The sequence below is a fragment of the Homo sapiens genome, chromosome 12, assembly GCF_000001405.40.
Source record: "Homo sapiens chromosome 12, GRCh38.p14 Primary Assembly".
Taxonomy (NCBI): domain Eukaryota; kingdom Metazoa; phylum Chordata; class Mammalia; order Primates; family Hominidae; genus Homo; species Homo sapiens.
Window position 1 is genome coordinate 3,628,379 of NC_000012.12, and position 23,133 is coordinate 3,651,511.

General features: G+C 47.4%; 1 protein-coding gene across 16 annotated transcripts in view, besides 1 other annotated feature; it reads right to left on the reverse strand.

The window, feature by feature from the left end:
- Positions 1–23,133, reverse strand: part of CRACR2A (calcium release activated channel regulator 2A) — a 137,782-nt gene that overhangs the window by 13,051 nt on the left and 101,598 nt on the right. For 8 of the 16 annotated variants that reach the window (XM_011521034.4, XM_006719021.4, XM_047429736.1 and 5 more), the window contains 5 exons: positions 20,164–20,235; positions 16,217–16,262; positions 13,354–13,460; positions 9,746–10,079; positions 5,226–5,358 (listed from right to left, as the gene is read on the reverse strand). In XM_011521034.4, the coding sequence (XP_011519336.1) occupies positions 5,226–5,358; positions 9,746–10,079; positions 13,354–13,460; positions 16,217–16,262; positions 20,164–20,235 (692 nt within the window). Of the gene's footprint in view, positions 1–5,225; positions 5,359–7,931; positions 8,021–9,745; positions 10,080–11,990; positions 12,402–13,353; positions 13,461–16,216; positions 16,263–19,564; positions 20,236–23,133 lie in introns of those variants that run through there. The other 8 variants (XM_047429741.1, XM_047429740.1, XM_047429739.1 and 5 more) reach the window with 7 other exon arrangements.
- Positions 630–1,261: an enhancer, noted in NCBI's record as "H3K27ac-H3K4me1 hESC enhancer chr12:3738174-3738805 (GRCh37/hg19 assembly coordinates)". NCBI's record gives its function as "activates a minimal SCP1, AML or CMV promoter by ChIP-STARR-seq in primed H9 embryonic stem cells {active_cell/tissue: H9 hESC(primed)}" and the evidence as "EXISTENCE:reporter gene assay evidence [ECO:0000049][PMID:30033119]".

A 23,133-nucleotide genomic window follows, 5' to 3' on the forward strand; every position in this document is an offset into this window, starting at 1 on the left:
GGGTAGGAACTGGCAGGTAGAGGAAAGGACAGAACAGAAGGGGTAAGAGAAAAAATCACAGGCAACTTTCACCCTTGAGATGGATTAGAGCTCCTAATCCTACCACTGGGCTGTTCACAACCATCTCTCCAGGGGTGTGACCCTACCTGGGGTCCTCAACCCCAGAGAGAGGGGGCAAGGTCAGTGAAGTGCATTCTGCATCCCACAGCAGCCCTCATAGGTCAGGACCTCAACACAGGTGTTTTGATACAGGTATTCCCCACTCCTGCATCCTGTAAGAATGTTTGCAAAGGCATAAAGAGGTTCGAAAGTACATCCCCCCACCACCACCATAAGTTCCAGATCTTAGAACTTTAGGGCATCTCCCGCAACCTTCAGAAAGGCCTCTGGAGGGCTCAGGAAGACAAACAGCAACAGCAGCTTGGACAGATAGAGACAGAAGAGACCAAACAGATAACAAAGAGGCAGTAAATGGAAACGGTCATCCCAGCCACTGCCGCTGGGCAAAGGCTAGTGCATTAAGACCCACGAGTGAGGAGACGTGGGAGGACCATCCACTTCCAGAGTGTCAGGGGCAGCAGGGAGTCTAGAGGCCCTCTGCTTCACAGATGAGGGCCAGAGAGGAGTGCAATCGTCTGCGCTGAGAAAGTGATTTCTCCCATTAATAGAATGCTTTCTATTTCCAGCATTTCTATGTGCTCCCTCTTCACCTTCACAGAGTCCCACTGTGACATCCATGTGAGTTATCTGCACACACATGCACACATATGCATATGTACTCATACATACACATTCACACACACACCGAGAGATGAAGCAGGAGTCACGAGCCGTCGTGCCTTGCCCGAGCTGGTCGGAAGCAAGGTGAGCTGCAATCCCAGCTCTGAGGCTCACTGCTCCTCCTGTAGCCAGACTCAGGGCACAGGACACAGGCAGCTTTGTTTCACCTAGAAGGCCCAGGGCTAAGTGCTCCCAGCAAAACAGATTACAGTGGCTGGGAGGTGAATCCAAGGGTGAGTTTTCTTCCTGGCTAGAAGTGGAGGGGCTGTCCCGGTCTGTGCTCTGGGAGACAGAAGGGGCTGCCTGCTTTCTGGTAACAACTCAGGGGAAAGGCCTCCATGGTCATACAGCTTCAGGGCCAGATCCGAAACCAGCCAGTGCTGCCCGAGGACAGAGGCCTCTGCCTGCTGGTAAGGCTTGCAGGTAGACGGGCAGGGAGTTTGCTGGGGCAGCTGGGTCCTGGCTGCCCTCAGCTCCTGGTGCTTTGCTGGAGGACAGGCAGCTGCCTCTGGCAGGGAGTGAGATGGGCAAAAGAGTGTGCTGGAAAAATGTTCTGTGCTGTGGTGAGCTTGGTGAGACTCCCTGCTGGACACGCGACGTGTTTCTCTCTGCAGCCTCAGACAGGCAGGCCGAGGAAGCAGATAAACAGGCTCTTGGGGGCTGGGTGTGAAGGACACAAGGAAAAGACAAGGGGGGGGGGGGATGAAGAGGTGGCATGTGCAAACATGAAGCCAGAGAACACAAGTCCAACGGGATAGACAACACGGAATAACTGGGGACCAGAGGGCCTGGATGAAACTGATTTTAAGACTACCACCAGTTCTGAAATCCCAGGAGTCAGGAGACCCGTGTTGTGCGTTCCTGTCTCAGCTCTGCCACTGACCAGCAACGTGACCTTGATGGCATTGCTGCAGCTCATTTTGGGGGGTTCTCTCTCCTCATCGGTAGACGGCAGTGAGATGGAGGTATGACGGGATGAAGGGGCTAAGTTGGATGCTGACAATCTTTAAGTGCAGCTGGAGCATTCGACCCTCACATCGAGGTGACCCTTGATTGCAAATGAATTGCTTCCCGAAGGATGGCTCAAGTCAGGAGCCTCCTGGCACCTTGAAAGGTGCTGTGGAGATGGTGTGGGTTAGCGCTGGGCTGACGGTTGCCAGGAGGGTGACCTTAACCTTTCTCGAGGTGACAGCCCTGAGCTGTCATAAGGCAGGAGTGATGGGGAGCAGGGGCAGCAAGTTGCTCTGGAGAAATACCCTAGGGGGCTGCTGCAGGGATTTCTCTGTACAGATGTGCAGTGGGACAGAACCTGGACCGGTGGCCAAGAAAGGGCAGGGGCATTCTTCCAGAAACAGCTTCTGGAAGAAACACCTTGGATTCTGGCCTGTGATTTAACACAGGGAGGTTGTGAACCAAAGTGGAGAAGTGGGAAGAATGCTGGACTCGGAGTCCTGGGTTCCAGGGAGATCCTCTATTGTGGATCTCAATTTTCTCACTTAAACATGAGAGGATGTAATTAGACCATTCCCAAGGTTCCTTCCAAACCTCGCATTCTGCTAAAACCATCCGTGCTGCCTCCAGGATGCCCGCAGGGCTCAAGCACCTGCTCTTGAAGGAGCAGGCTGGGCCCTAGGTGGGGCAGGCAGGACGCCCCAGTCACCAGTTGCACTGGAGCAACTGGCATTTCACACAAGCCACTGGTGCAGTACAAAACATGCTCTTATGAGGGAGTGGGAGACCAGGAAGTTGGAGGACCCCTCGGAGGATGGAGGTGAGCTGGAAGAACAACCAAAGCCCTGCCACTGTGCTGTAGCCGCTGCCCTTGACAGGAGATGGGCTGGAGCCCTGTTCTGGGGTTGGATAGCTTTGGCCCGAGAGGCTGTGACTCTGTGGCTGTTATATCTCTTTAAAGGGGGCAGCCTGCAGGTGGCTGGTGTGACATCTGCTTCCTGACATGTGTCCCAGAGCAGGGCCTGCAGTGTGGCAGGGAAACTAATTTGAGCTGCTGCTCGAGCATGTGTGGAGTGGTGTGATGAAGGGCATCCTGATTTGGAACTTTTGATATTTTTTCCCCTTCCTAAATTGGAGGGTGTTTCCATAATTGGCCTCCTGGGAAGTGCAAATGAGTCTGATTTTCTATTTTTCAGAGCCTACCATCTCAGGGCCACAAGTCGAAAATGTAAACGGATCCTGATTTTGTTGTCAGGAGAGGCAGGCCACATGCACACTGCTCAGGGCACATGGCTCTGAGGCCTGCAGGCTGGGCACCCTCTCCCTGCCTCCCCCAGACCTGTGCCAGAGCCGAGACTGTAGGGCCTCCCCCATGGAATGCCCTCCGGGAGGGCAAGTCGACCTCCCAGGCGCTGTCTCCTGTGTTACCACGCTCAGCACACTCCCAGCTGCCCCTCCCTCAAGGCCAGACAAGGCCAGGCTCTTCTGAGCTTGGTTTGCAGGCTCTGCACTTCTTCCCATCTGGGTCCCAATTTTTGTCTTGGGATGCTCTCAGTCTCTGGGTGAAGTTGAGCAGAAGGAAAGGCATGGGAAGATATTCCAGGTGTGATAACAGTGTAAGAAAAGGCCCAGCAGTAAGGATGGGACACCTGAAGCACCTAGGCAGGGACCCCTCTCTGGGAGAAATGTTAGAAGGGCCAGTTTAGGGTAGGAGAAAGAAAATGGAGTCTCCCCAGGCAGGACTCTGGACCACTCAAAGTTGGTCTTGTAGAACCAGCTTGTCACACAGCCAAAGGTTGAAGATGGTTGAGTCAGAGACCCAGGCTTGGAGGCAGTCTTAGGGTGCTGACGTAGTTTGGATTTGTATCCCCACCCAGACCTCATGCTCAATTATAATCCCCAGTGTTGGAGGTGGGGCCTGGAGGGAGGTGACTGGATCATGGGGGTGGATCCTTCATGAATGGTTTAGCACCTTCCCTTTGGTGCTGTCCTCATGAAGGAGTTCTCACGAGATCTGGTTGTTTAGAAGTTTGTAGTACCTCCCCTGTCCTCTCTTCCTCCTGCTCTGGCCATGTAAGATGTGCCTGCTTTCCCTTTACCTTCCGCCATAACTGTAAGTTTCCCAAGGCCTCCCCAGCCATGCTTCCTGTACAGCCTGCAGAACCATGAGCCAATTAAACCTCTTTTCTTTATAAATTACCCAGTCTCAGGTATTTCTTTATAGCAGTGCAAGAATAGACTAATACAGGTACCCAGTTACAACCTCTCATTTTTCAAATGAGAGAAAACTGAAGCCCTAAGAGGCACCACATCCTCTTGAGGTCACACAGCTTGTCAGTGGCGGGGCCCAGATGAGGACTCAGGACTTCTGATGTCTCACTGAACCTCCACAGCCCCTCCTGTCTGCACCAACCTCTGCCCACCTCCAGAGGCAGAAAAGCATCTTCACCTCTCATGGGGTGCTAAGTGCATACAACTCAATTTAGGGACACTATGGCATGGAAGAGAAGGTAGTTGAGGGGAAGGTATCAGCACCAACCAACTGAAGGGAATGTGAACAAGCCTCTAACCTCTCTGGACCTCAGTTTCCTGATCTGTCGACTGTGCTGAACAGTACCTGTCCCCCAGGGTTGTCGTGGACATAGATGGAAAGGATGACTATAAAAGCTTCTGGTAAATATTCAGGTCATACAAATACATTTTCAAGTACAGTTGACTTATCAGCTCAGTGAAATAGGCATGCAATGTATTTGTTTTTTGTTGAGTGATTCACCCTTCTGTTGAGTGATTCAAGCTGAAAGGTCCATATGCCCTTGGGTCTCACCACATATTCCAATGCAACCCTCAACTGTGGGTGAAGGGATTAAAGGCCTCTATTTAAATAAAATATCACCCAGAGTGGGAATACATTAAGCCATGATCATCCATTAATAGCTGAGCCTAATGAGCTTCCACATTTAAGTCCAGCTGTCGCCCAGCAGGCTGGGGACTTAGGACAGATACAATGCGATGGGTAAAAGAAGCCATCCAGGAGCAAGGCCAGGATGTAGCAGGCCCTCAGGAAGACAGGGGGAGGTGTGGCAGGATGTGGGTCTCGGGAGGAGTCCTGGTCAGTTCAGGGGGAGCAGGAAGACCCAGGACCCTGCTGACAGTGGGGAGGAGTGGTCAAAAGGAGGGGGTACTCATTGAAGAGGGGAAGGGGACCCAAATCTACCTTTACCAAATTTAGTTCCATAAACCCAAGGTTGGACTTACAAAGTACTCAGGGGTCCCATCACACACAGGATGAGCTTAGCAGCTAGCAGCGTGAGGGGAGGTGGCTTCATCTTGCCCCTCCCAGCCTGTCTGTTGAACAGAGCAGACACCAGTATCCCTACTGGCCAATCCCCATGGCCCTTCCCATGGGCTTCTAACGCTCCCTGCCCCGGGCCCCCTTCTCACAAACTCCCTTCCCAAAGATGGGCCTAGGACCCACCTCAGGGATGAGAACTCACCCACAGTGGCCGCCATGCCTGGGGAGAACCGGTCCTCACAGAATCTCCTCAGGAAGGATGTCTTCCCCACCGCGGAATTGCCCACGAACACAATCTTGAAGAGCCGGTCAGGGGCAGAGGGAGAGCTTTCCTCCTGTGGATGGCACACAATCTGACCAACTGCAGGGAATAGTCTTGCCAGCCCCTGCCCCTGCCACCAGAGGCCCTTTACCCATCCCTACAGTGGCCCTCAGGAGGTGCAGACCGGCCTCTAGACCTGCACCAGGAGGCTGCCACAGCCTCAGAATGCAGTGAGCATAGTCGGTCTTGGGGCATGGAGGCTTTTTCCAGCATCCGCAGGAGGAAGGAGAAACAGCCACCCAAGCGACATTTGCTGTCTGCCTCCTGTGGCAGGGAGGCAGAGGCCAACCCTGGATTCCAGTGGGGTGGAGGAGGCAGCACGCTCACGGATAAGGACAACTCGGTGCTCCAAGTGTGACGGGGCACAGAGGAGGGGATCTGAGCGGTGGCTTCAAGAGGGGGCAGGAATTCTTTCTGTGGGGAAGGACAAGGTGGGGCGTTTGCACGGAGAAGGAGAGAAGGACGAAAGAAGGCTTATCCACATCACAGGGACAGAGACGTCCCAGGTTGGGACAGGGAGCTCCTTATTTCTGCCCTATCCTCGGAAGCCTGGACTAAATGGAGGATGCTTTTGCCTCCCTCTCCGTCCATCTTATCGGTTCCCATCGAGGCACTGCCATCTTCCTTGGGTAACTGAGGCACGAGGGTCTCCACTTAGGAAGCTGGGAAATGCTAGGCTGCTGGGCAAAGCTTCCCAGAGTCAGCCAGTCACTGCTGCCCTGTCTCTTGGGCCCAGCAGAGGGAAACGGCTGGGACAGGAAAGCCCAGAGGGGAGTGAACTTGCTCTAGGACAAAAAGCAAGCAGGAGGTAGAGTAAGGAGCCACCTTCCAGCACAGCGTCCTTCTGAGGAATGATCATTCATTCCAGGAGCTGCCGCTCAAACGCAGGCATCTTGCCTTCAGGCCCAGCTCAGCGTTGCCTGGTCACATGGGGAGGCTCTTTTGAATCTATTTAAAAGTGAATTTGGGGGAATTAGCTCCTCTCATTGAGCAAATACTATAATGTAGTGGCAGGTGTATTAGCAGTACTTGAGTTTCAGATAAAAAGCCATTAACTGCCTTTTGGAGAGAAATCAATTCCATGCAGTATTTAGGAGAGAATTCAAGGTCATCTACAAAAATTTAAACTAAAAGTTAAAAAAAAAATAACAACCAACCTGCACTCAAAAACTATGCCTCCTGCCCCATTTTCTTTATTCATGCAATGCACAAGGGCACCAACTCTCTGCTGGTCCCTGTACTTTTAATTGTTATTTATTTGAGACTAAAACTCAATGTATCAATCTAATACACCCAAGCACAGTACAGGATAGGGAAGGTAAAACCCAGGATGGCAGGCAATGGTCCTGGTGGTAGAGGTGTTGCCTGATCCTTAGCCCTGTGACCACTGCCCCTCCCCAGGCAGAGCACTTTGATTTTGCAGGCAAAAGCCCATAGACACAGCAATGGCTCAGTGTCAGGCAGGACTCACCTCACAGGGGCAGCAAACTCTCAGGTATGTTCATGCACTTAACCCACTGTCCCCTCTGGGGGACAGGCCACCTGCCACAGGACAATAAGATGGCTGGATTGCGGGGAGGGGGCTGGAGAAGGAGTACCTGGCTGGCAAATCAGAAGATCTCTTCTCACCCTCCCTCCCTTCATGCTTTTTAATTTAAAAAATAAGGCTTTAAGAAATAAAATGTATGCTAATTTTTAAAATTAGGAAATACACAAAAGTAGAGAGGAAATTAATTCTTCATAGTCTACCCTACCATCCTGAAATGGTCACTATTCATATCTTTTTATTTTTATTTTTTAAGAGACAGGGTCACATTCTGTTGCCCAGGCTGGAGTGCAGTGGTGTAATCATAGCTCACTGCAGCCTTGAACTCCTGGGCTCAGAACTCCTCCTGCCTCAGCCCCTGGAGTAGCTATGACTACAGGTATGCATCAACACGCCTGGCTAATTTTCTTATTTTTTGTAAAGACTGGGTCTTCCCATGTTGCTTAGGCTGGTCTTGAACTCCTGGCCTCAAGCTATCCTCTCAACATGGCCTCCCAAAGTGCTGGAATTACCACCATGGCCTCCCAAAGTGCTGGGATTACCACCATGGCCTCCCAAAGTGCTGGGATTACCACCATTTTACCAATTCATATCTTGATGCATTCCTTCCAACTTTTCTTTATATCATCTTTGTTTTATTTACAGAAATTTGAGATATATAAAATTTTATCCTACTTTATCATATATTATTAACTTACAAATTTTTTTAGTCATTAAAGAGTTTTGAAAATACTTTTAACAGCCGTATAATATTCTAGTGAATTAATATACTATGCCTTATGTCCCTATTATTGGACATTTTTTTTAAAATTGTTTGCTATTATAAATAACTCTTGCATTCTTGAGTTAAATCTTTGTCTGATTTTGGTTATTTCCTTATGAAGAATTCCCAGCAATAGAAGTGCTGGTTCAAAGGATATGGTATTTTTAAGTTTTTGATTCATATTACCAAATGGGTTTCCAGAAGGGTTGTACCAATTTACACCTCACCAGCCTTGTATGGCACGGCCTGCCTTGCAGTAGCCTTCAAACGAGCGTACCTTCTCTTGCTGGAGCTGTTATGTGGCTGCTAGTGAATCATACTTCTTCCCTGCTGCAGTTCCTGTTCCCAGCAAAACGGCAGCAGGACCTCGTGGAGTGGGCACAGAAGTGAGAGAGCTCAGTGAGGAGGGCTGGACTCCCCATCACTGTGGGGCTGGCCTCTCTCCCCTCTGAGCTCTGACTTTCCCATCTGTCAATGGGGAGAATAAATTTCTGATCTGACTCATCAGATAGCGGTGAGGATAAAATGCCATAGCAGATGTCTGAGCAGACGCTTAAGCCTTTTTCTTCAACCCCAGCTCCTACTGACCTCTTCTTTCACATTTTACGGGGACATCTTGGAGTTATATAAGACCCTATTTGTACCCACTGCCAGCAAGTGTAGGTCTGTGCATTGAAGGGGATGTGGAAGGGCATGCAGGAGGGAGGGGGACCCCACATTGGTGCCACCCAGCTCTCCACTCTCCCCTGCACCAGGGCCCTTGAGGAGTGATCTGCAGGCATGAGTCTTAATCCTGGCCTGAGAATGGTAACCTATGCCGGGAAGTCCATTAGGTAGCTCACACCCTACTGCAGCCACTGGGAAAAGTTCAAGGCGGCAAAGGCTCAGTTCTCAATGGCTGCCGCGGCGTGCAGGGCGGAGCCTCTTTCACACTGCCGTGGATCGTTCTAAACTGTTTCAGAAGGCGGAGTGCAGGATGAGGGCTCGAGGGGCCTATTCCGAGGCCTGGGTCCCAAACGAGGCAAAGAGCATCTATCACCATGAGCCAGAGGAGCCGCTTTTCATATGGTCTCCCTTTTCCTACAGAATTTAGCAGGAAGACCTGGTGGGCAGTACAGGGTCACACTGAAGGGAGGAGCAGGCAGGGAATGTCGGGATGAAAGTGTGATTCGCTGATTAAGAACCAAGAGAAAAATGATGGTATGCAAACTTTCTAAAGCAGAACCTGCCTCTGCTAAGAGCAGTTACAAAGCCTGCAACTTTAAAAGTGTAGGAAATTGTATGCGAGGAGCTTGGCATACAGTCTAGCTTAAGTAGGTGCCCAGTTAATGCTTTTGAATCTGAATCGGAAGAGAGAGCACAGGGTCGGGAAGGGGGCAAACAACGGTGGGATGTGATGAGGTTTCTCTTCAAATAATCTGATCAATCTTTTCTTCTTTAATTCAATTTTCTCAATCCCCAATTTTCTCCTTTTTTTCCTTCTTGCCTTTGTTAAATGCCCAGGCACGCCACAGTACCAAGCGTTATCAGTACCAGCTCACATTTCTTTCCTTATTTGGAAAGGGGACTCACTTTCTGGCTCATTACACACACCCCTTCCCCTTTCCCTCCACTTTCTTTTACGTGCCCACCCTATCTAAAAAAAAAAATCAAATGTTTAGCCAGCCAGGATTAGTTTAGATTGTATGACCCGACCCCGGCCAATGGGGAAGGACTTGCGTCAGAAATAAAGGCTCTCGTGCCCCTTTGTTGAGGTGTGCTCTCATGGTAACTGGCCAAGAAGGCACCCCTCTGCGAAGAAGTAGAACTGCTTTGCTAAGAATCCTTTGTTCAAATGTTCAGTTTCCTTAGGATTTTGAGCGTTATTACAAACACAACAGAGGTCTAAGGAGAATTTATCAGGACCCCTGAGTCTCCCCGCATGACACTCAGCTAAGCAGGGGAAAGTGGTATTTGGAGGACACATATGTGGTGAATCATAAGACCTGCAGCATCTGACCTCCTGAGCTGCCTCTCCGGGCGCTTGGCCTCAAATGCAAGAGACAGATCATAGAAGTGATGTGCATGAACCAAGGTAGGCTGTGCCCTTACCTTACACAGGGCTTCTTTTCCAACAGGCTGCCCTCGGGGGGATGTGGGGGTGAGTTTCAAGGGTGGGGCCTCCGGGATTTGTCCCTGTACCCCCTGGTCAGAGACCTCTTCCTCTTCTGAGCATTTGCTCAGGGGTTGCTCAAAGCCACCATCCAGGAGCTGGGGCAGGGGGTCTTCTTCAACGGAGATGATTCTGCGGAGCGGCCGGGGGTACGGACCCCCAGGCCCTGGCTCCCCGGTTCCTGGCTCCTCTTCTGTTAGGGGATATCCACTCAGGCCCAGGGAGCTTCTCCTTGGGATGCCAAACACCTCCTCCTCCTCCTCTGACTGGCTACTGGGGCGGGGAAGAGAGAAGAGTTGGGAGGATTTCACAAAATATTTCAATACGGGCTGCATAACAGCTTTTGTGACGAACAGATACCCAAGGAGCATCACACCTTTGGACAAGAGCAGTCCGGGAGAGGGAAAAACAAACCAGCCAGCATTCTGCAGCTCATTCATTCAACACGCTTCCACTAAGTGCCTGCTGCCACTGCTGTGGCAGATGATGACAAAGATGATGATGATGATGACCAAGTATTAAGTAAAGATGCCATTTACAGATGGACATAATCCCTGTCCTCACAGAATACTTGATTTAGTGGGGGACTAAAGCAATAATGACACAAATAAATACATCCTTTACAAATTGTGAGACTGCTGTGAAGGAGAAGGAAAGGTTGTGAAGAAACGTGTCTCAGACTCAGATTTTAATAAAGCGCCCCCGATTAACATTAGCAGATGACCTTGGCTCTGCCCCCAGCGCCAGCCCTTACTCACTGTGTGTCCTTAGGTAGGACACTCCAACTCTTCAGACCTTGCTGTAAAACGTGGCCCATCTGCTCTATTCCCAAATAAGTCAATGCATAAAAACAGACATGTTTGCAAAACATCCTCAGCAGTGTGAGGGGTGCTGTTGCTTTGGGAGGGCCCCCCACCTCCAGACATAGCAGGTCTGCTGGCTCACAGGCAGCTTCCCCCTAGACAAGAGGCTTTGGGTCAGAAGAAAGCCAGGCAGAGCATCTCCATCCACCTCTCCTTCCTCTCCCTTTCTCTTCCCCTTTCTGTATCCCTAGAAGTCACAATCAGGAGTAAGTGGCTCAGAGGCCTAAATATCTTCTAGAAGCATTTGAGCACTAAGGGCAAGGAGAAGCTGTAGGCAGTGCAGGGAATCGGGGAACTGGATGTGGGGGTCAATGCAGGGTCTGTATTTTCAGTAGGTTTTGAGAGCAAAGGCCTCACAGAAATTGTCTTAAAGGAAGTTTGACAGGGAGGACCTTAAGTCCAGAATTGAAACACACACACACACACACACGCATGCAAGCATGCACACAGACTAGAAAAGAAAATGGAATGGGGATGAAGCAGTGGGGTGATAGAGCCAAAGGAGAAAGGAACTAAATGAAGGACACAGAATATGCAGAACAGAGAAATACACTTTCTTTTGCTCCCTAATTTAAAATATGTATTACTCTTAAAGATCAACAGTAGAAAGGAAAAAGAAAAAAAAATGCAGGTATCACCATCCTGAAATTAACTGCGATTCTGCAAGATAAATTACGATATAGTGCTTGCTTGAAGAAAGGGTGAATTAGTTTGGATTCCTTGATATGAAAAATAAAGGATTTGCAGCAATTAAAGCACCTTTCCTTTGACTTATAAAAACAGTTTTAAAAAAGCCAAATGTCTTCTTTCCAGCAAACTTCCTATATATTGCATCAAGCTTATTAAGTGCTTATTTGTTTAAGAACACAATTGGTATTCCCATCTACTTTTACTCTGCTTACACACACACAAGTGACTATTTGTATGTACACATGAGCAACTACGCATACACACACACAGAGCATGTTTTTTCAAAGGCTTTGCAACCAGAAAAGAAATAGTCACTTAAACAGGCATTAAAACAAAGCATTTCTTGGAAAAAGCTTTCTGTCTGGGAAATTCTCAAGCACTACTGCCATTCTGTAATACCTGCATCACGGCATGACTGAGTTCATTTTTGGTTTTACCACCAAGTGCTCTCTGCCATCCGTAGGGACAGCAGCTACTTTTGTCAAAGTCTGCATTAGAATTCAGGGCTCACAATTTGTTGCTTACTTGATTATTGTCTGCTTCTTCCACTCAACCAGAAATTCAATGACACAGAGGTAGGTCCATTTGGCTCACTACTGTATATCCAGCAAAGAGCACAGGACCTCACACATAGTAGACACTCAATAAATATTTATTAAGTGAGCATTTAATAATGGAGATTAATGGTAGGACCTCATGTCTAATTTATTTTTGGAGGCTTTACAGAACTCAAAAGAATGTCTGGTACACAGTAGGTAATCAGTAAACGTCTGCTGAATCAATCAATCAATCCATTCCATTCTGAGGAACCAACAGGCCAACCACTATTGCAGAGATTTGGCTCCCAAATTGTATCTCATTATTCAGCTATTTAGAACAAGAATTCATGATGATCAGGCCCAAAGGTTTTACTGATGAGCTGATTTACATCTCCAGAGTCACTTCCGCTTTGCATATCTTTTTCATTTCATGCTTGCAGTCTTCAAGGTCTCTCTGGGTCTGATACTGAAGAGTCGGGATGCCTCTATCTCTCTGTGGCCATCTATGTGGACACAGCACATGCCAAAATGAAGAGTGGGCAGGGGACTGGTTTGTCTCTCAATGAGCAATGAGCCAACCCTTGGGTACTCAAGCTCAATCATGTGCTGCCCAAGAGCAACAAAATGTGTTATGTTTGAGTTAATTAAATATAGGTCATGGAAACGATCTGTCAAGCACAAGCCCTAGCCTTGTCTGTAAAAGGAGTTAACTATTGGAGATTCTATTTGACAGTTTAATTAACCTTCATAGCCAATATAGTCATGTTCCTAAAAAACCAAGTGCATTGGCCGGGCACGGTGGCTCACACCTGTAATCCTAGCACTTTGGGAGGCCGAGGCGGGCAGATCACGAGGGCAGGAGTTCAAGACCAGCCTGGCCAACATGGAGAAATCCCATCTTTACTAAAAATACAAAAATTAGATGGGCGTGGTGGCGCACCTCTGTAATCCCAGCTACTTGGGAGGCTGAGGCAGGAGAATCGCTTGAACCTGGGAGGCAAAGGTTGCAGTGAGCCGAGATTGCACCACTGCACTCCAGCCTGGGCAACAAAGCAAGACTCTGTCTCAAAAAACAACAACAACAAAAACCCCGAAACCAAGTGCATCCATTCTGCTCAGCAGACAGCAGTGTAGTGCTACCCAGCTACACACTCCCTCCCTCTCCCTTGACCCCTCTCCTCTGCTGCTCTGCAGTCCCTCTCTGCAAACACACAGTAGGGTGGGGCAGCCTCAGAAGACAATGGTCTGTCCTGTGGGGTTTGCTCTGCACATTCCCCCTCTGGCTTAGATGTCAGAACAGGGAGGGGCATGTGTTCCAAGATTTGAGGGGAGTGAGTGCAGCTGACCTCAGTTTCCGCACCTCTCAAGGGGTCAGCAGGCACTGAGTATGGGCCCAGAGCCAGCTCCCAATGAGCCTGAGAGGAATGAAGGGATGAGCAAGTGGAGATGACTTACCTCCTAAGAATCCCTCTGCTGTCCACATATTTGCCTATCACAGAGCCAGATCTCTTTTTCCAACTTGCCCTGGAAGCAGCTGTGTTTGCCTTGGCTGCCTTATTTTTCTGTAGAAACACAAAATGTCCTCAGATCCATGCCTATTTGCTCCGATGTTTGAACAGAAAAGGGCTCATGGTTCCCACCTCATAGACTAGGCTCTACACAAAACTCTGAAAGGAGTAGGCAGTGTTCTGGTCTCCCTGTTAGCGTCTAGCCACTCTTCCCTTTTGCCATCATCCCCTACCAGAATCCCTCCATCTCCTTTCCAGTCAGCTAATCAAATGAACAAGTGCACAGTTTACAGCCTGGGGCCCATCATGCTATTCACAGGAGCACTGATGATTTGTAAAAGGAAAAGAAGAGATAAGTGTTTAATGCATATTTTCTATACATATTTCTAATGCATCTAGAAAATATACATTAAACACTTATCTCTTCTGAAAAAATATATCTATATTTTTGAAACAGGGTCTTGCTCTGTCTTCCAGGTCAGAGTGCAATGGCATGATCACAGCGCACTGCAGCCTCAAACTCCTGCACTCAAGCAATCCTCTAGCCTCAGCCTCCTGGGTAGCTAGGATTATAGGCGCCCTACCATGCCTGGCTAATTTTCTCATTTTTTGTGGAGATGGACTCTTGCTATGTTGTCCAGGCTGGTCTTGAATTCTTGGCCTTAAGTGATCCTCCTGTCTCACTCTCCCAAAGTATTGGGATTACAGGAGTGAGCCACCACGCCTGGTCAGATAGAAAAAAGAAAAAATATTTACAGGCATAAAAAACTCTGTGAATCTTTAATTCACACTCTTCTGTCTGGCTCCAATCCCTTTTTATTTCTAAAGCCTCAGATGTAATGAGAAAGTAACTAGCCAGGAGGATCAATTAACTCAGTGTTCTGTCCTGAGCTAGCATAAGGTAGTTCAGCTCTTTGGTGGAAGTAGGCTGGGTGTAGATAAACTACTAACATCTGTAACACAGGACCTGGGTGGAGCAGGGGTTTACAACCCCCTTTGCCTATGCTCCCTGACAGATGTCTTCCAGGAGATGAGGCGGGGGAGTTAGACTGCAGGAAATCTCTCTCGTTAATTAGCCATCCCATGATTCCCAGTGATCCTTAATGAGAGGAGGGGCTGCAATGCTCCCAGAGCCCCTGAAGGTATGGCTATGCTGATTCTAAATCAATCTTCAATTCTTATTGAATTTATCCCTTTCTTTGATTCCCCACAGAAGTTCTTAATTCCATACCCCTTTCAAAGCAGAATGAGTTTGGCAGGTAAAGGGAAGGGAGGTGAAGGGATTCGGGTGACATTTGGTTGGAAGTTTTAAAATAAATTCAGTGTTACTTCTAAAACAATTATAACCATTATCATCATCAAACAAACATGTGTAGGCTCAAGTCTTGCTCTAATAGTACACACAGGTGGGTGGCAGAGATGTTTGCTGCCAGTCAGCAATGGAAAAGAAACTGTGGCGTAATGCAGTCCCTCAGGGATTTGCAATTATAAAGCAGGTCAGATCTAATTTAGGGCAAACCAATTGCCTTCTGCTGACCATATCTAGGTCACCGTTCAGCTAAGGGTGCAATCCACATCATCCCCTTTCCAAGAATCTTTCTCAAAGATTCCTGTTGTATGGAGGGGGGATGGGAATTCACTTTCCTCGCGTGACAGCGGAGGTCATGGTCCAAGGCAGTAAATGACTTGCCCAGGGACCCACATGAAATTCATAGGATGGTAACCCTGATAATTAGGAAGTCACATCAATCAATTTGGCCTTCATTTTTCTTCCCTTCAAAGCACCCAGTGGCTCCTGTCTAAAGGGAAAGATGAGTAAGAACATGGAATCCTAGGTTTTGGCCAATGTGGTCCACAGTGAAGACCTTCAAATAAATATAGGATTTCATGTCGTTTAGGAAAGTGTGTGTGTGTATATATATATATGTACATACATATACACACACATATACACATACATACATATATATGCACACAGACTATATATATATAGTTTATATATATATTTATATAATATATATTATATATATATTTATATTATATATAAATATATATAATATATATTATATATTTATATTATATATATTATATATATTTATATTAATATATAATATATATTATATATATTTATATTATATATATATATATAAACTGCAGAATGCACTTTGGGGTTCACAGCTGGGAATTTCATCCGTTAATACTAGAGGTGGAGAGGGCAGTCCAGATGACCTCAAAGTGCTTAGCAGTTTTGTGATTCTACGACTCATATATATATATATATATGCACACACTACATATATATAGAGAGAGAGACATGGTACTCAGGTATGGAAGAGTAGGGGTCCCTATAGGATAGAGAAAAATTGTTCATAAAATCAAGTATGAAAACAGTGAAATACACATTTCTAATGTGGTCTATGACAGTATAAAATGCAAAATTTTCATCGAGATAAAAATTTAAATGAAGAAGAACGGTGTGAGCATTTTGGTTTAGAAGTGATAATGACATTTCAACTGCGCCATCTCATGGATAGAACTATCATTTCTGCATCCAAGAAATGTGCGACCCTCCCAAATATTTCAGTCTTGTTGTGCCAAGAGGAAACTGCATTACTCTGTGGAAAATTAACACGTTGTTACCCAGTAGGCCACCCTGAATTTTTATTATTTGCAAAACGTTTTCATGCCGTCATCCTGCCAAATAGATCCCGAGTGTCAGGACATTGCTGGGCCAGTCTCGACATGGATCTGGCTGTCCAGTGGACCACAGCCCTTGGTCCCCCACAGGTAAGGGAGAACTGGCCAATTACCTGAAAACATATGTCCCGTTCATCCCGAAGGTGCTTGTTCCTTTCCCTGTGGATGGTAAAGGGGAATCTATTCAAACATGGAGTTTGCAGTTGACAGATCCAACGGCAGCCAATTTGCTATTCAGATGGGTGCAGGGGAAGGTGTGGTATGGAAGACAGGGGAGTCTGTGGAATCTCCTTCCATAGGGATGTGATTAATGGTAGAGGATAGTTTTTGTGTACAGATAGGTACACACAGATGTGGGGGATAGACTGAATGCCCTTGAGACACCCGTGGCCCATCAGGATTATGCATGGCCTCTCTTATTATTAGGGGCACTGCCTACAGAGGGGACCTCAGCATTCCAGCTCCACCTGGGAGCTTCCTGTTGGGCTCCCTCTTTCTTTCTCTCTGTGCACCATTCATTCATTCATTCACTCATGCATGCATGCACGCATTCACTCAAATGTCTCCTGAGCACCCACTGCATGTCAGGCACTCTTCTAGCCATCAAGGTCACACCAATGACCAAAACAAAAAGTTCCTGCCTCACAGAACTTGTATTTTAGTGGAGGTATAACTGTTATTGAGAAAATAAAGCAGGAAAGTGGAGTAAAAGAAGCCAGAGTGTGGAGTAGTATTTCAACTACAGTGGTCAGTGACGCCCTCACTAATAAGACAGCATTTGCATAGAGCCTTGAAGGAGCGGGAGAAGCATTCCAGGCAGAGGAGAGGCTAGGGCAAAGCCTTGTGCTGGGATACACCTAGTGTGAGCAAGAAATAGGAGGAAGTAGAGTGCCCAAAGGGAGAGTAGTTAGGAGATGAAGCGAGAGAAAAAGTGGATGGTGGTCAGGACCTGTCTCTTCACAGCCCTGTGGGACACTGTACGAACTTTGATTTTTACTCCAAATGAGATATGAAGCCAAGGGGCTGGGGGTGGTGGGGGTGAAGCAGATGGCAAAGAAGTGTCAAGATCTGGCTTCAGTTTTCAAAGGATCCCTCTGGATGGGTGCTAAGAACAGATTGCTGGGGGCAAGCGTGGGGTCCTGACACTTGACGAATATTTTTAGCAACATGGAGGTCATTGGCAACCTGGGTAAGAACCGTTTTTTTGGAACAGCACGGGGAAAAGGCCTGATTGGTGGGTTGAGAATGTGAAGAAAAGGAGTGGAGACAGTGAATGTGAACAACTCTTCTGAAAGTTTTGTTGTAAAGGGGTTGAAGAAATGGCAAAGCAAGTAGCTGGGTGGGGAAGTGAGGACAAGAGTTGTTAGACAAGAAACATTAGAGTACATTTGTAGGTATCTTCAAAAGAGATAAAACTGACAATGGAGGAGAGAAAGAACAAATGCTGGACTAGTCCTTGAGGAGCCAGGAAGGGACAGGCTCTAATTCTAGAGTGTGAGTTGGGCACGGGGGTAGGGGGTGGCCTCTGTGACGAGTATGGGGAGTACATCCACCGTAACAGAGAAGAAGGCAGAGACATGGGCATGGGAGGAAGCTCTTATTGCATGGTTCCAGCTGTGAAACAGGAGCAAGCGTGAGGATGGAAAAGGAGGAGTCTTTTTTCCAGGACTTAAAGTAGGAGCAGTTGGGAAAGTGAGTTGACTGGGTCGCAGCGCGACTGCAGAATGCACTTGGGGATCACAGTGGAGAATTTCATCCGTTAACACAAGAGGTGGAGAGGGCAGGCCAGATGACCTCAACGTGCTTAGCAGTTTTGTGATTCTATGACTCTTCTGGCCAGTGGCCTCTGAACAAACCCACACTTTTGAAGGGCAAGGGAGGGCACAGCCATGGTTAGGCCCTGATCATCATAATGCAGCCATTTATGGAGCACTTATTGTGGGCCAGGCGCTCCGCTAAGTGTGTTGTAAACTATAGAAAGAGATTTTAGGTGGGGCCTGAGGTGTCACCACCTGGGCAACTGACTTCCAATTCCACCAGTCTTGCAGAAAACATTAGGAATGTGCCAGGGTTGTTTTCAGTTACCTGCATGAGGTGAGCAGGCAGGCACACAGCCAGGGCCTTCAGAATAAGTCAGGAGGGACATGGAGGTTATTTCACAAGTCCTGAGAATGGCAAAGTGAGCTGCTCATGCCAGAGGGATCCTCGCTCCGCGCGGAGCTGTGAGTTAGCACCCTTGCACATGAGCAAGGACCTTGGGAGACCTGGAAAGTCCCACCGTTTTTTGGAAAGCAGGCTGCATTGTTTCCTGCTTTGTGGCTTCCTGCTTTATGGGGATGTAGCCATCCCCATACAGAAGCCTCAGTATTTAAAGAAACATATCTGCTTTTGTTTGCATCGCTGCTCTACTGTGATTCCTACTCACATGTATCATCTAATTCTCAAAAGAAGCCTGTCAGCTAGGCATGGGAAAATTAAGACTCGGGTTGGTTAAGTCAACTGCCCAAGGTCACACAAGCTAATGAGAGGAAGTGCTGGGTTTTGAATCAGATCCAGCTTCAAAGTGCATGTTCCTAATCAAGTGCCCTGAAATTGCTTGCGTTTGTACCCAATGTCCTTCGGATGGCAGCCCTTCTCACCCCGTCACACCCCAGCTGTTGTCCTGATTCCACCACCGTCCCACCCCTACCCTCCCCTGACATTCCCGCTGTCCCCCACCCCCACCTCAGCATTATCTCTCCCTTGATTCCTGGTGGTTTCACTGTGAAGGGGAGATCTGCCATAAGGCCTTCCCTCCACCTCTCAGCTTTCATTAGCCATTGGGGCTTAAGCTTGGTAACCCTGGATCGATGGCACAGAAAGGCCTCAGGCCTTTTGTGATTCTGCACAAATGCTAGCCTCCATTAAAAAGACCCATAAGTATTTGTAGAGAGCTGCCTTGTCATTCTCCCCTGCTCATTCTCTTTGAATCTACCCTTTCATTTTTTTCTAAATGCAATAGAAAAAAAAGACCCCAAACTTGTCCTTATACGTTTTGTTCTCTTCCTTTTACTAAAGTCTTCCTAAGAATCAAGACCTTCGCGCAAATGGATTATAGCCTGGTCACCTAAGAACCCCTTTACATGTTCCCTGGCTCTGGAGGCTGAATCATGTACTGAGCACAATCAATCTGAAACGCATTCAGGTTAAAGCACTTTTCCATTTGGTAGCATCATAGATGCCAGACACAGTGAGCTTCCCTTGCTTTCACAAAAACAAAAACCTTCATAACATAACTAGGAAGTGATTCAAAACCACTTGCACTTCAAAAATCAGAACCCAAAGTCCTTCTGTTTCCTCACCATTCCCCAAGAGGTGCTCAGCAGGCAGTGACTTAGAAACTTCATGGGCAACATCAAAAATTCCATCTTTCCCCACACGGGTTTGTCTTTCTGAGGAGGGGAGGGTGGTGCACATTCCAGACCAGTAAACTTTGAGTTTATTGCTGGGGGTCTTTGAAGGCTGAGAAAGCTTTTTCTTGGTGCTCTGTTTGTGATTCATTTACTCATTCAACAAACATGAACAGAACACAGCCGAGTTACGGATTTCCATTCTGGCCCCATCAGAGAGTAGCTGTGTCGCCTGTGGTAAATTACTTCTTTCCTCTAATATCAACTTCCCATCAGTAAATTCCTGTGAATGAACTGCCCTACTCACCTAACAGTTTTGCTGACAATGAACGAGATAATATTTCTAGCATAGATTAAATGCTCATTAAACCCAGCTCTGCTCGCATGAGATCAAGTACCAAGCACAGTCCTGTGAGGGACTCAGAGGAGTGGGGCAGAGCCTCCCCACCAGGAGGAATAAACTGGATGTGGGCGCATGTGTAAACGGACCAAACATAATAGAGTGGCTACTTGGTGGTCCAAACACTGCACTGGGGACCAAGGGAATTGAGGGCACTCTCTCAGCAGGCACGTTTTTCCAGCACGTAGGCAAGGATGACCCTCAGACTGGTCCTTCCGACCCCAGGCTTCTGGGAGGTGCTCTCAGCACAGGCCAGTGCCCACCGACGCACCTTAGGAAATCCAGCTGCTTGAGGAGCCCGGCCTTCTCACGCTGTAGACTCTCCGTCACACGGTACACTTCCCTGAGGAGGAGGCAAACACATGGCAGTGAGCTCCCAGGTGGAAGCCGGATGCCCGGACCCCTCATGCTGGAGACCAGCAGGTGATGCCGTGCTGGGGATGGAGGGCATTGGAGGAACGTGGCCTCCTCCTGGAGAGCTCCTACAGTATGCAAGTGCTTTGGGCATCACACATGGCCAATTTGGGAGGTGAACTTATCCTCATTTCACAGACTCTGACCATCAAAGAAGTCTGCTAAGTCTTTCCAGTTCACACAGACAATCCGCGACTGAACCAGGGTCCCCTCCTAACCCCAGACCCAGCTCATTCCACAGCCACTTCACATGCCACCTGTGAATAGGCTGGATGGTCACTAAAGAGTTGGTCCAGGCTCAAAAACCAAACACCACATGTTCTCACTCATAGGTGGGAATTGAACAATGAGAACACGGACACAGGAAGGGGAACATCACACACCAGGGACTGTTGTGGGGTGGGGGAAGGGGGGAGGGATAGCATTAGGAGATATACCTAATGCTAAATGACGAGTTAATGGGTGCAGCACACCAACATGGCACATGTATACATATGTAACAAACCTGCACGTTGTGCACATGTACCCTAAAACTTAAAGTATAACAATAATAAGATAAATAAATAAATAAATAAATAAATAAAAAAGAGTTTGTCCAGGCTCCAAACTGCCCTATCCTATCCAGACTTCAGGGAATTCAAATCAATATTCTTCTCCAGCCAGATCTTGAAGGGTGAGAGCAGAATTTGTATTACCTTCCCTCCCATTCTCACCCCACCCAGAGGCTGGTTCAGTATGTTTTTAGGAGCTCTGGAAGAATCACCTTCTCTTTCCCACCCTCCTCCCAAAGTCTCCAGATATCTGGGCTTTTCACTATTGGGCACTCATTTCTCTGACTTATGATCCAGCTGTAATGCAGAGATTGAATGTATCTATTATAATCATTGATATCACTGTGCAAACGTGTTAATTATAACAGGAGTTGTGAGGAAAGGAAGAGAGAGGCAGGGAGGCTGTGAATCAGGGCAACTAGAGGGCAACTCAGGTGGGGAGGTAAGGGCTGTGTCTGGTTTGTTTACATCGATACCCTCAACACAGTGCCTGGCATGGAGGTGTAATCAGCAAATAGTTGTAGGAAGAAAGAAAAGAGAGAGAGTAAAAGAGGTGAGGGGGAGCAAAGAAGGAAGAAAGGGAGGGAAGGAGGAAGAGAGGAAGGAAGGAATGAAGGAAGGAGAAAAAGGAAGAAAAAAGAGGAAGGAAAGATGGGGTAATTGGGGAGGTCTTCAGCATCACTCAGGGAAGAAAGGAAAGAAAAAAATAAGCACTTAGGTGATAATGGGAAACTGGCTTAACTTCACAATTCTGTCTTCATTTTTCCTTCTGTGTTCTATACCATGCTTTAGACATTTTTTAATCACCCTCCGATCTTACTACAAGGGTTCATAGTTTCACGTTTCCAAACTGCAGCACAGCTTTTCATGTAGGGAGCATCTCGCAAGTTGATACAGGCGTCACTTTCCATGGGCTGTCAGGGCTGCCAGGCTGTGCACACACTGGGCTGGGCAAGGACCCCACTGCCACCCCATCAGTATCATTACTGAGCTGGCAAAAACTGCACCAACATGCTGGCCCACAGGACTCTCCTGCCAAGCTCCTATTAACCTGATTCCTTAAGCACGATGTTTCTTTTTTTCCCCACTTTATAGAATAATTGCAAAGTTAATTTACAGCAATAACAGGCTGAATGAAATTCTAAGTTCAACTCAGACAATTCCAATTGAGCAACAAACTTTCTCTGGCTCCTGCAGAGATGCAAATTCCTGACATTTTATTACCAATTATATTTAATTTCAACTTGAAGTAAAACAATGTATTTCCCATTATCCAAACTGGGTCTCTAAACCCCTGTCTGGGACTCTGCTGTGATGAGTGCTCCGTGAGCAGAGCTGCCCGCTCCCGACTCTGAGCCCTGGGAGCTGAAGATCCTGGTGCTGTGCTTTAGGGTCCCCCCACCCCACCCTGTGTCCTGCCTCTCTCCAGGGGTGGCCAGGAGCTCACAGCTTTTTCCTCTGCTCAGGAAAATCATTCACCAGGGACTTAAGGTCTGGGTTCTCACGGAGCGTTTTACCAAATAGCCAGTTCCCAAATTCTAAGTCTTCTCTGGCTCTGCATACACAGCACCAGTGACCACTGGAGCTACATATCCATACATATGTATTAGAAATACATGTGAATACAGGTACTGTTCTATTTGTCTAGTAAACATATATCTGCTTGGATATTTGTACATCCATATATACACACATATATTCAGAAATATATTTTTGTGTCAACAAAAGAAAGGCACTTCTGAAAAAAGAAAGACACTTAGATATTTGACTAAATGACCTCTAAAGTCCTTCTAACCTAGAGGTTCTAAAAGTGTATACATGGGTAATATGTAAACTGAAAGGGAAAGAACCTGCGTTTGTTTGGAGTGGTAATTGGTGAGGCGTTTATGGTTACCCTTAGGGAACTGCTATTGGCTGTTTTAGGGGAGGGATGCGCTATGGAGCACTTCACAAGCCATACTGTCAAGTGAAAAATGCAATGCTAATGCAGAACAGTATGCTTAGTATGCTACTGATTTATAAAGGAAAAGTGTGTGTGTATGCATGCGTGTGCACGTGTGTGCACGCACATATATGTGCCTGTGCCTGCATATACAGAGCATACTCTCAAAGGATCCACAAGAAACCATGGCCAGTGGATCTGATGACTGCAGATCGGGGCTATGTGGGGGACACAGACTTCTTTTTGAACGTATAACCTTTTGTGCCTTTTGAATTTCCTGCCTTGTCATAATTACTTACTCAAAATAAAAGTTAATTAAAAAACAGAGTTGCTG